Here is a 13,456-nt window from a genome sequence, read left to right on the forward strand (position 1 = left end):
AGCTTTAGTCTTTTTATAAGAAAAGCACATGTGAGCTGTATAATATGTCTTTGACTTTGATGTCAGTGTGTCACCTATTCTTCATCCAGCTGGCCTTTTGCATTCTAGAAACTTGGAAGTGCTTTAAGTAATCATCAATGTTATAAGGAGTCATAAATGAGTAGTCACCCAGAATGTTACACATTTTATCAGTTGCCCCCTTTAAAAAAATCAGAGTATCTAAAGTAGTCAAATCCACAGAAACAGAAAGTACAGTGGTGATTGCTAGGGGCTGGAGGCAGGGGAAAATGGAGAGTTGCTATTTAATGAGTATAGCTTCAGTTTTGCAAGATAAGAAAGTTTGGAGATCCAATTGTACACCAGTGTGACTATACTTAACACTGCTGAAAGTGTACACTTAAAAATGCTTAAGATGGTACATGTTATGTTAGGTTTTTTTTTAAACCATAATTAAAAAAACAAGACACATACAAATATGAATTTTTAGCTTTCCTCAAAACTTGGAAGATCTGGCAACACGACCTGTCTTCCCATATGACACCAAGTGGCTGGAGTTCAAGAGTGACTCTTTAGATGAGGCTTATGTATATGCCACAATTCCCACTGCAGCGTAATTTATCCCTGACATTGAGGAAGGGTCATTTGCTAATTATCATCTTCTGACAGCCTACTCCAGTCATCATATGTCAGCTACCTGGACCCCGTAGGCCCCTTCTGATTGAGAATTATGTGTGTGAAAGTGTCACACATCCCTGACCAAGTGCTGTCTCACCGTATTTTAGATATGCCATTCAGGGGCCTGTGGATTCCTGCCTACCACCTCTGGCGTGGCAGGAACTGCTCCTTTTGATAGCACACCAGCTTGGGATATATGCAAGGCTCTTTAGGATCTCCCATCTGTGGAGTATGTGCAAATTTGAGTTAGGTCAGAAAACAGAATGATAATTTGGTTATTGTATTTTGTGAAGCCATGTGCAGCAGATTTGAGGTGAGTCCTTGCCAGTGTAGCAGGTTCATCACCAGTATTAGGGCAATATTTTTCCTGTGGGGTTTTTGGAAGTCAGCAGTTGTCTCCAAAAGCAAGACATTTAAATAGGCTGATCTAACTGAACAAGAAGGATTGTTTTCTTTGTCAAATAATAGATGATGAATGCTAGACACAATGTTGTATTTTTTTCTCTAGAGACTTAAAAAATGCATACAATGTTTTATTTTTAAATAAGATTTTATGATTACCCTGAGAAAACAAAATACTTTTTTTTTGAGACAAGGTCTGGCTCTATCACCCAGGCTGGAGTGCAGTGGCACCATCTTGGCTCACTGCAACCTCTGCTTCCCAGGCTCAAGCCATTCTCCCACCTCAGCCTCCCGAGTAGCTGGGACTACAGGTGCGTGCCATCATGCCTGGCTAATTTTTGTATTTTTTGTAGAGATGGGGTTTTGTGATGTTTCCCAAGCTGGCCTTGAACTCATGAGCTCAAGTGATTCACCAGCCTCGGCCTCCCAAAGTGCTGGGATTACAGGGGTAAGCCACTGTGCCTGGCCAGGAAAATACTTTTTAATATAAATGAGTTAGAGTGTTCTAAATGGGCTGACTTGGGAAATTTAACATGGAGGCTAGTAATGAACTCTGTTTTCACTTTCAAATTTAGGAATTATTAAAAAATAAGCCCTTCTGTTTTATCAATTTATGAATAATTATTCACTGAATAATAACATTATGAGCAGAAAAATAAGCCTGATGAATTATTTAGTCCAACTGCTTTGTTTCTAGATGAGGAAATGGAAGTTAAACAATTTTTCCACTAATTTCATTAGTAGCAGTAAAAGTCAATTCTTCTGATTTCTAATCTACCCTTTCTGTGACTTGATGCTGAATAAAATAAGTCTAACAAATTGTAATTCTTTTTTACTCTGAAAAAGAAGTTGCTCATGTTAAAATCTAGATTATTATGACAGTAGTCTCTGAGTAGAGATATTTAAGTAACTTTTACAATATTTTAAACTTCCTTTCTTTTAACATTTGATAAATATCTTATCAGATCTTGAATAACAGATGCTCATCTCTTCAATAACTATAATAGTTATTAAAGAAATATGGAAAATTACATGAAATTAGTATATGGCCTTTTGTGATTTTTGTGGAATTTTTTTTATTGTATGAGGTACAATGCTATTAGAAATTGAATTTTAAATGTCTTGATATTTTGAAGTTTAATTTAAAATACTAAAGCTATTTCATATGTTATTTTTGTTTAACTACTTTTAAATAATAGATGGATTTTTTTGATGTGTGTTGGCATTTTTAGCTTGTTAATAGCTGAGGCTGTGTAGTATATTATTGAGCACATGCTCCAGTCAAAAAGACCTGGGTTCAGTTCCTTACTCTGGTCTAATGGCCATGGCCTTAGACAAGTTACCTAATTTCTATAGGCCCAGCATCCTCTTTTGTGAGTAAGAATTATAACAGATTGTGGAAATTAAATGGGAGAAAGCATGGAAAGACCTTGCTTAGCAGAGTACTTAGCATATAATAAGCCCTCAATAAATATTTTTCACGAAGCAGTTCTTGAGTACCTAATGTGTGCCATCTGCCTGCTAGTCACAGTGGAAACATGTATGGATATGGTGTCTACCTTTGCAGAGTGTTTAGCCCAGAAGCAGCAGTGAAAAATTGCAAAGGGATCTAACACATGTGTGCAGAAGGAACATTCTAAAGTGGCTGATTTTTACTCCTTTTAAAGAAGAGGTGGTAGTGGTTCCTTTACTTCAATCAGTAACTTGCCATTATCTGCACTTAAAAACCAAATAGCACAGAGTGAATGAGTGGTGGGCTCCTCTAGAGGGCAGCACAAGTGGGGAAAGTCAGTGCCACAGTGTAAATACTTAAAAAATAAAAGCTAGATAAAGCTCGACATCTTGCTGTATGTGTTAAAGGAGACGCAGCCAGGCAGTGTTTTGTCCCCAGTTATGAGTATTGTGCACGTGTGAGACAAGACAGGCACTAAGGCAGAGGAGGCTGTATTTCTTCTCCAGCACTGCAGGTGTGCGTGTAGTGCCTCCTGCCCCACTTGCAGCCACATTTAGGAGATGTTGACTTCGTATTTAAAAAAAAATGATATTCCCAATTTTTCTGTTCTATCCCATTTACTTATTCATTGCTTCTATTTCATATACTTTAAAAATGAGCTTAGGTCACAGTGCAGCCCCGTTTCAGGCAGGGAGACTTGAAATATGGTCCACTAGTACTTTACTAGTTTTAAGTCTGTGATACTCATTTTTGAGGAATGGATAGTCCAAGACAAGTAGCCTCTCAGGAGATAATCATGTATCTTATCAGTTCGTATGCATCCTTCTAGGTTATGAATAGCAATAGTGGCACAAAATCATGCAGATTTATTTTGTATAATATGGAAATACCAGTGTGAGTACAATTTCTAAAATATTCAGTATTCACAGAATAAAAATTAATGAAATTAAATTATTATATATCAAATACAAAAACTTACAGACTTACAAAAAGTCTGTGGATGTATAAGCAGACCTTTGCTACAGATTCGCGGCTTCTTTTGACTGAATATCGCTCCATCCTTTGCCTTCCTTAGAGTTGGCACTTCTGTTTTGTAAGGCTTCCATATCTTCCTGCCTGCCTTGCTGGCTCACCTGAGACTTCTCTAGACCACCAGCTCTGGGCAGTGTCTCTCTGGCTTTGGCTGTGGCTCCTAACTGAGGCAGTTTTGGATTTCTTCCCAGCCATCCCACTCAACAGAGAGAATGGTGACCCTGCCCTCAATTTAACTCCTCCCCTTCTCCAGTAGAAAGATCAGCCCGCTTCCAAATCTGGGTTCCTTCACCTCTGGGGTGTGGGAAGGGGTCAGGTGAGGGATGCTTAGAGGGACTACAAGCTGCCGAAGCTGGGTATTTAAGGGGTGCAGGGAGGCTCAAGGTGGGGGTTACAGGAAGAGGGTGGGGGGAGAGAGTCAGAGAACAGGAGTGGGACTGGAAAGAGCCAAGGAATACAGACAAAACTGCTGATTGATGTCTGAAATAACTGCATTACACCAACTAAAATGTCAGTATGTACTTAAAAATACTAAGTAGGCTCGGACTCTGTAATGCCAGAACTGTTTTTATTATCACTTCTTCCACAGTCACTTTTATATTTGAAATATCTAAAACTTTATCTTGCTTTATAGACCAACACACATTCAAGATCTTTCTTTTCCCTTGAGAATAGGCAGATAATGCTTTGCATAAACTAATCTCTTCTGAGAGACAGATTAGGAAATTCTGAATATTGGCACCAGTTTTAAGCCTACTTTCTTTCCCAGGATGCTTATATCTTTTGTAGGTACCTAGACTAGAAGATGACTTAGCTTTGTATAGTGCTGTTTTATGGTGTGGTTTTGTTTTTTTGTTTTTAGTCATCTTGATTTCTAACTTCAAAGTAATTGGATATGTAGGCATGAGAGTGAGTAAGATTGGTCTGGATTATATATGCAGGATTTCATACCTGATCTCACTGGACTGGAATTGTTTCTTCAATTAGTGTTTCTCTGTCTAGAGAAATGTGCCAAGATCCCTGGAGGAACCTAGTTATAAAGGGTTAACAGGGTAGATTTTAATTAAAATTGCTTATAAATGATTTTATTTAAATATCCATAAGGACAAGAGGAGGCACATGCTGCTTATTCGCATACTACTGATATAGTACAATTATAAAACCAAACCAAATTTATAAATTAAATACAAACAAAACTCTAACAGCAATAAAATGCAGATTAGCCTCATTGATTTTATGTGATGATCAAACATGTCTTACTGAACCCAAACCCTAGTTGCATTGTGGATGTGGCCTGCCTGCTGTCAGGCCCTGGTGCTTGAGTTCCACTGCCCATCTGGCTGGGATGACTCGCCTCTGTTTTCTCCTTCAACTGCTGTTAAACCATGTTTATGCAGCAAGCCAGGACCACACTGGCCTTTTCTTAGGTGCAGATGGAGCATCCACATGCCAAGACTGCTTCTCTCTTTTCTCACTACACCTGGACGATTAAATAATAACATGATGCCAATGCAGTTATTCAAACAAATGTAACTTAATGTGTTTTACTAATTTTGTTTAGGATATCATTAAGAAATAATATAGAGCACTCCCAGATCTCTGAGAATACACCCATGGTTTTCTTTTTGAGAATTCTTGCTACAGATCAACATAACCTATATTGTTGATTTTTTATTGTTTCTATTAAGTTAATATTAAGTTAATGTTTGTTACGTAACTTAACAAAAAGTGAACCTATAACATATCTCCTAGATGTCCTTCATTGTGGTTGTGGGTTTTTTACCATTACTCCCCTCCAAAGTTTATTCACAGGTGCATTCACGTATTGATGGAATGTGTTCTGTAAGCCAAGTACTAGTCTAAGTGCTGAGTCAGTGACAGCTTACTAGATAAAGTTCTTTTTAGAAAGACCTGAAATTCTTTCCAAATACTTGGTTTCTCCTAAGAGTAGCAGCCTGTGTGTATGTGTGTGTGTGTGTAGGAAGATGCAACATCATTTAACAAATAAAATCTAATTTGTATTGTCCACTTTACCCAACAAAAATTAACCTGTGAAGTCAAGGTTGTAAAGCTCCTGTTTTGGAATTAGATTGCTTATAAAAGAGAATTCTATTAATGCTGTGAATTGTGGAGAGTTAGTGACATGCCCTTTAACGGTCATAAGAAAATGTTTTTTAATTGCTTTTGCTCTTTTTCTCATTCTGTGGCCATCAAAACATCTTTTCCCTCAAAATTTAGTCAGCCATTCAAATGGTGTTAGTTCTATGGCCAGTAGTCAGATTGGTTCTGTGTTTTGTTATTTATATTTTACTTTTGGAGGGATTAAAATTCAGGGTTTACAATTTAAGTAAGAGACTTTTTATTTTTCTTTACACAGAAGGCTAGACCATCAATAATACAGGTAAATGATCCTTTTTAAATTTGCTTTTATATTTTTCCAGCTATACTTTCTGTGGAATAGTATAATACTGTCAATAATGTGCTTTATTCTAGGATACTGTAACACTTTGTTCCTACCCTTTCATCTTTGATGCCCAAGCCAAGACCAAAATGTTACAGACAGATGCTGAACTACAGATGCAGGTATCATATTTTAGAAATTATTTCTTCTTTTTACTGTGTTTCTCCCATTCTAGACATTCAGTTGTAATTTTTTCTAGTAGGAGAAAACATATTTGGTTGAAATTCCATTGTAATTCTTAAAACTGTTTGAAACTTTTCAGTAATTTTGTGTTGAATATAACACACATAGGTGAATACACATTTGTGTAGATTAGAGATTGGCAAAAGGATGACTTAGTAAATGTTTTAAGCTTTGGGAACCGTATGGTCTCTGTTACAACTATTCAACTCTATTTTAGCACAAAAGCAGTGATAGACAATATATAAATGAATGAGCATGGCTATATTCCAACAAAACTTTATGTATGTTGAAATTTGCATATTATATAATTTTTACATGTGGTGAAAGATTATTCTTCATTTAATTTTTTTCACCCATTAAAAAAATGTAGAAACCATGCCGGGTGCAGTGGCTCATGCCTATAATCCTAACACTTTGGGAGGCCGAGGCAGGCTTATCAGAGGTCAGGAGTTCAAGACCAGCCTGGCCAACGTGGTAAAACCCTGTCTCTAAATACAAAACTTAGTTGGCCGTGGTGGCACCCACCTGTAATCTCAGCTACGCGGGAGGCTGAGACAGGAGAATCACTTGAACCCGGGATGTGGAGGTTTCAGTGAGCCGAGATTGCGCCACTGCACTCCAGCCTGGGCGACAGAGCAAGATTCTGTCTCAAAAAAAAAAAGAAATGTAGAAACCATTAATAGCTCAAAAGCTAAGCAAAAACAGACAGAAGGCTGGATTTGATGTGTGGGGCCTCAGTTTGCTGACTCCTGACATAGAGAATTAAATGGAACTTGGGAATTCTTTGTTGAATAAAAACTTGTTATAGAGATTTACTTAATAATTTATTTTAAATACACATTTTTATTATAAAGTATAATTGATTTTGACAAGCCACAAAAACGTTTGTGAATTAGCGGCTCAAATCCTCCACTTCCTACCATTGGTAGATACAGATACATAACTTCATTTATCTTTCCCTCTCCATCTCTCTGACTGTCTGCTTGTCTGTCTCTTTCCAGCTCGACTGCATCTATCTATATATATGTTTGTTTTCATGTTGCTATATCTGTGATATTGACAGTTTAGAGATTTTCAAGAGAAATGAACATTTTTCAAAGAATAACTCTTTTTAACAAGTGGTTATTAGCTTTCTTTTCCTGCCATTTTGAAAGTTGTGGTTTTTACCCACTTTCTACCATGTTTCTTCAAGCATGATACTATTTTAGTATTAATCAGCTAGTTTAAGTCACTTTCCTGGACCTGATTATAGATCATATGATTCATAAACTGTTTTAGTTAATTTCTGTGAGTCCAGATTAGAAAGACTTGAGTGCTGTGTAAACATAAGTAACTTAGAAAATCTGTGGAAGTTAAGAGGGAAAAAAATTAACAAAATGGAGATGCAGTCAGCGCCCCCAAGTCCAGAAGCACAGCTGACTGCTCTCCCAACTCACACGTGTGCTCTGAGTAATTGCTTTCTTGACTGTGCCATTCCAGGTGGCAGTCAATGGAGCCAACCTGCAGAATGTCTTCATGCTTCTCACCCTGGAGCCTCTGCTGGCCAGAAGCCCCTTCCTGGTCCTTCACGTTCGCAGGAACAACCTTGTTGGAGATGCCCTAAGAGAGCTGAGCATTCATTCTGATATTGATTTGAAAAAGCCTCTCAAAGTGAGTTCCTTCAGGATATTCCTCTAAATACCTTCGCAATTTTTCTTTGAACAGTGTTGATTAAGCAGCAGTGATCTTATTAAAATTGTGGGGTGCAGCCATTCTTTCATTCATTTTGCAAGAATTTAATCACCTACTTTTGTCAAATCACCAAACAGAACACCTCAATGTAACATTGGATAAAAATGCCAGTGGATTATTTGAAAGATTAGAGTGCTTTCTTTGTCTTCTGCTGTCTTTGGTGTACCAGTTCTAGCTCTATCAAAAACAAGCAAACAACAACAGAAACGAAAGCTTTGACTAATTACCACTATTAAGCTATCATTTAGGAAGATTGTAGATATCAAAGATTTAAGAGAAAGAAGGTAAAATAGGAAAATGGAAAGGTAGTAAAATCATCTGGGAAGCTATTGGCCTATTATGAGAGGCACACCTAGTACCTGTAAATTATTAAGTGAAAAAAAATTTCTCTCTCCATATATCATGCATATTTCCAGGGCTTAGCATAATGTTTGGTACACAGTAGGTATTCCAGAAATACTTAGTGAATTATATGAAATTGTTTAAAGTCATTCATCTTTTCCCTCAGACAACTTCCATATCCCTATTGCTAATCTTGTTATGAGTTCCACTTTCAGAAATGTAATAGGCATGAAATGAACTGATCATCTCCATAATATTTTTACCCTTTCCAAAATTCCTAATAAGTAGCATCAGTCGTATCAATCTGCCTGGTTGTTCTTCCCAGAACTTCTGGGTTATATTTTTGACACAGCTTTTCTTTTTGCCCTGTTTTCAATAGGTAATTCAGGTGAGGCAGTTCTTACTTTGTAGCAGTATTCTTCTGGCATCTGTGTAATCCAGGTCCCAGTCTCTGTCCCATTTTTACTCTTGTCCTGCTCTAGGCAATCTTGAAGACAGCCACAAGTGTAAGCTTTGTTGAATGCTGTTTTTAGTTCTCTGCCCGAGTCATTATCTATGAAATGGGGATGATAATAGTACCCTATGCATAAGGCTGTTCTGAGGATTAGGTTTACAGAGTTTAACAGCTGGCATGTAGTAAACTCCATGTCATTTGTTGATTTGCTGTAGTTGTTACTGTTGATAACCATTATGTATCCATCATGCCCACTTCCACTCCCTCACAGAGCCCATGTCTGTGTCTGATTAGAATACCCTCTTCTCTTCTACATGCAGCAGTTACTTCAAGAACCCTATTGAGCGTGATTTCTCCCAGAAAGTGTTCTTTTATTCAAGTTAAATGAAAAATCATTTTTTTCTATGTGCCAGAATATTTACCTCTCATTATATATTTGACTCTTTAAAAATAAAAAGTATTCTCTGCTTCTTTTATGTTTGTCTTTCTGCGCTTAAGTAGATGGTAGACCTTTTTTTTTTTTTTTGTCGGAGTTTCGCTCTTTGTTGCCCAGGCTGGAGTGCAGTGGTGCGATCTCGGCTCACTGCAACCTCTGCCTCCCACATTCAAGCGACACTCCTGTCTCAGCCTCCCGAGTAGTGGATTACAGGTGCCCACCACCATGCCAGGCTCATTTTTGTATTTTTAGTAGAGACAGGTTTTCACCATGTTTGCCAGGCTGGTCTCGAACTCCTGACCTCAGGTGATCTGCCTGCCTCGGCCTCCCAAAGTGCTAGGATTACAGGCGTGAGCCACCACGCCCAGCCAATAGATGGTAGACTTTCTAAGGACACATGGTAAATTTCTGACTTCCTTTGTATCCCTTGAAGCACCTAGTAAAAATTGTATGTATCTATAAGTACCTTGCTAAAACTTCACCAGCAATAATCAACAGACACACCTTGCAGTTTTCATTGCATCAGTGTGTATTCTTTGTTATGCTTTCCTTCCTTTGTCCTGAGTTTAGAAAATGGTCTGCTAAAAAGAGATAAAATGTGTCATAGATTTCCCGGAAGCATTAATTCTATTCTATTATTTTAAGGTAATCTTTGATGGTGAAGAAGCAGTGGATGCCGGTGGTGTTACAAAGGAATTTTTTCTTTTGCTGTTAAAAGAACTTTTGAATCCCATCTATGGAATGTTTACCTACTATCAAGATTCAAATCTCTTGTGGTTTTCAGACACGGTAAGTAAGTGGTGTCACAATTAAACAGATGGATTAAATTAAACTTTCTTTTTGTTGTCAGACCAATCCCCTAACTTCTAACTTTGCAAAGGGGAACATAACAAGGATAATAATTCAAAATGTTTATAAGTAATTAAAATGTTTATCCAGTCTTCATTTATACTTGTTTCCAAGACCTCATAGTGCATTTTGTGAGCCTTCAGTCCCATTTCCATTTCTAGTAGGTAAGATCCAAGTCTTGTTATCTGAGAAGGGTAAAAGGAAACTGTGATAAATTGGTTTTGTGACATATGGAAGGTCAATAATCAAATATGTCTGATATTAATAACTATGATAATATATTTTCACACACATGTGCATGCACACTTTATTTTTGAAACTTCAGTAGGAGAGCTAAGTTTTTAAAGGCGTTCTAATTTCAATCAGACTGTCATTTACATTTTTTTCTATGAGAGTTTTCTTCCTAGATCTGCACCATACCAAAAGGTAGCCACTAGGCACTAGCCACATGTGGTTATTTATATATTATTTATTTAAAAGTAAGTAACAGCAAAGATTCATTTGCTCCATAGTACTAGCCACATTTCCTGTGCCTAGTAGACACATGTAGCCAGTGGCTACCATATAAGATGGGACAGAATAGAATGTTTCTATAATGGCTGAAAGTTCTGTTGGATGGCCCTGCTCTAGATGACTGTGAGCTGTTCTCTGTATCACTAGGTACAAATGCTTAACTCTGTCTACATTGCATCTTTAAGGGATAACAACTTTTGTCAGGGTGTTTCTTTGCTACAGAAGGTAACTAAATATTAATGAGACCTTTATTCTTTTATTTTGAAAATATTTTGAGGGAAATGGTAGAATGTTTGAAGGCCAGAAACATTGCATTTCTTTTTAACACATTTGTATGTGTCCTAAAAAGTGTTTTGTAGAGCACAACTGGTTTCACTTGATTGGTATAACCTGTGGACTAGCTATCTACAACTCCACTGTGGTCGATCTCCACTTCCCATTGGCTCTCTACAAGAAGTTACTCAATGTAAAGCCTGGCTTGGAAGACTTAAAGGAGTTGTCACCCACTGAAGGAAGGTACAAAGCTAAAAGGCGATTGGTATCTGAAACTGTTGTGGCTGCCTCTGGCATGAGGATTAAAGGTTGAAAATACCATCTGTACAAATCTGAGTTTATTGCATCCTGTGGTTAGACCCTGTTATGTGTGTTTTGTCTAAGATGTAGCTGTGCAGCTACTTGCTTGAGACATTGCCTGTGTTATCGGTACAGTATCGGTATCCGAGGGGTATTAGTTCCAGGACAACCTGCAGATACCAAAATCCACATGTGCTCAAGTCCTGCAGGGGCCCTAGAAGAACCCATGGATTGGAAAAGTTGACCTTCCATATCCTTGGGTTTTACACCCTGCAAATACTGTATTTTCTTTCTTTAATTAAACTGTTTTTGTTGTTGAGGCAAAATAGATACACATATTTTGGGGGTACATGTGATAATATAATACATTATATAATTTGTAAAGTTCAAACCAGTGTAACTGGGATATCCATCACCTTAAATATTTCTCTTTATGTTAGAAACACTCGAATTATTCTATTTTGAAATATACAATAGATTATTGTAAACTATGGTCATCCTACTGATCTATCAAATACTAGGTCATATTTCTTCTATCAAAATGTAATTTGCGCCCATCAGTCAACCTCTCTGCAAATACTATAATTTTGATTGGCCTTTGGTTGAATCCATGGATGTGGAACATGTGAATATGAAGGGCCAACTGTATTTTATTTTTTAAACTGCCAAATAGTGTTTTGTTATATGGATATGCCACATTTTATTTATCCATTCATCAGTTGATGGACATTGGGTTGTTTCCAGTTTTGACTATTATGAATAATACTGCCATGAACATTTGTGCACAAGTTTTTGTACAAATGCAAGTTTTCATTTCTCTTGGTATATGCCTAGGAGTAGAATTGCTGAGTAACTCTGTATTTATCCTTTTGAGGAACTTCCACGATGTTCCCAAAGTAGTAGAGCCACATTTTTTTTATATTTATATTTATTTTCATTTTATTTTTTTTAAATTATACTTTAAGTTTTAGGATACATGTGCACAACGTGCAGGTTAGTTACATATGTATACATGTGCCATGTTGGTGTGCTGCACCCATTAACTCGTCATTTAACATTAGATGTATTTCCTAATGCTATCCTTCCCCGACCCCCCCACCCCACAACAGGCCCCAGTGTGTGATGTTCCGCTTCCTGTGTCCATGTGTTCTCATTGTTCAATTCCCACCTATGAGTGAGAACATGCAGTGTTTGGTTTTTTGTCCTTGTGATAGTTTGCTGAGAATGATGGTTTCCGGCTTCATCCATGTCCCTACAAAGGACATGAACTCATCATTTTTTATGGCTGCATAGTATTCCATGGTGTATATGTGCCACACTTTCTTAATCCAGTCTATCATTGTTGGACATTTGGGTTGATTCCAAGTCTTTGCTATTGTGAATAGTGCCGCAATAAACATACGTGTGCATGTGTCTTTATAGCAGCATGATTTATAATCCTTTGGGTATATACCCAGTAATGGGATGGCCGGGTCAAATGGTATTTCTAGTTCTAGATCCCTGAGGAATCGCCACACTGACTTCCACAATGGTTGAACTAGTTTACAGTCCCATCAACAGTGTAAAAGTGTTCTTATTTCTCCACATCCTCTCCAGCACCTGTTGTTTCATGACTTTTTAATGATCGCCATTCTGACTGGTGTGAGATGGTATCTCATTGTGGTTTTGATTTGCATTTCTCTGATGGCCAGTGATGATGAGCATTTTTTCATGTGTCTTTTGGCTGCATAAATGTCTTCTTTTGAGAAGTGTCTGTTCATATCCTTTGCCCACTTGTTGATGGGGTTATGTTATTCTCTTTCTGGCTCTTAAAATTCCTTTTATTCTTGAGTTTCTCTGTATTGGTTTTGGGTCACATCAGATCAAGTATATAAAAGGACAACTTTAACGGGAGGGAACATCTTTTTGTAGAGAAGGGATACTGATGAAGGTACCCTCCATAAATGAGAGTATCCCTCTCATATAGGACACCAATACTGAGAAACTATAAAGGATGGGAGGACACACAGAGTGGAAGAAAAAACTTAGAAGTAATACTAAAAAGTGGCACAGGAGACCCAGACAGTGTTAATTTTTTGGTAACTGAAAGAAAAGGCTAGAGAGCAACAGAAATGTGTGTCCCTTACTTTGCTTATGTGGCTGAGAATTATGTATTTCAAGTAATGACTTTGGCTGATTAACTGGTGGCAGATTTAAATTCCACACTAGGACTTCTCTTTCCAGGCAACTCTTGATAGAATTGCAAGACTGGAGCTCACTAAAGAAGAAAGTGTGAATGAGAGCTAGTTATAAGAATGTATTCTCTTGAGAGCTGGGATATGATTGTTGTTGCCATAAACATATTCTTCTTTT

The 13,456-nt window shown here is 37.5% G+C and overlaps 1 protein-coding gene across 9 annotated transcripts in view; it reads left to right on the forward strand.

Moving 5' to 3' along the window:
• The window catches only part of HERC3 (HECT and RLD domain containing E3 ubiquitin protein ligase 3), a 184,697-nt gene that overhangs the window by 146,436 nt on the left and 24,805 nt on the right, over window positions 1-13,456 (forward strand). For 6 of the 9 annotated variants that reach the window (NM_001375483.1, NM_001375482.1, NM_001375479.1 and 3 more), the window contains 4 exons: window positions 6,056-6,145; window positions 7,686-7,856; window positions 9,815-9,958; window positions 10,881-11,047. In NM_001375483.1, the coding sequence (NP_001362412.1) occupies window positions 6,056-6,145; window positions 7,686-7,856; window positions 9,815-9,958; window positions 10,881-11,047 (572 nt within the window). Of the gene's footprint in view, window positions 1-5,939; window positions 5,964-6,055; window positions 6,146-7,685; window positions 7,857-9,814; window positions 9,959-10,880; window positions 11,048-13,456 lie in introns of all 9 variants that reach the window. The other 3 variants (NM_014606.3, NM_001271602.2, NM_001375480.1) reach the window with 2 other exon arrangements.

The sequence above is a fragment of the Homo sapiens genome, chromosome 4 (genome assembly GCF_000001405.40).
Source record: "Homo sapiens chromosome 4, GRCh38.p14 Primary Assembly".
NCBI lineage: Eukaryota > Metazoa > Chordata > Mammalia > Primates > Hominidae > Homo > Homo sapiens.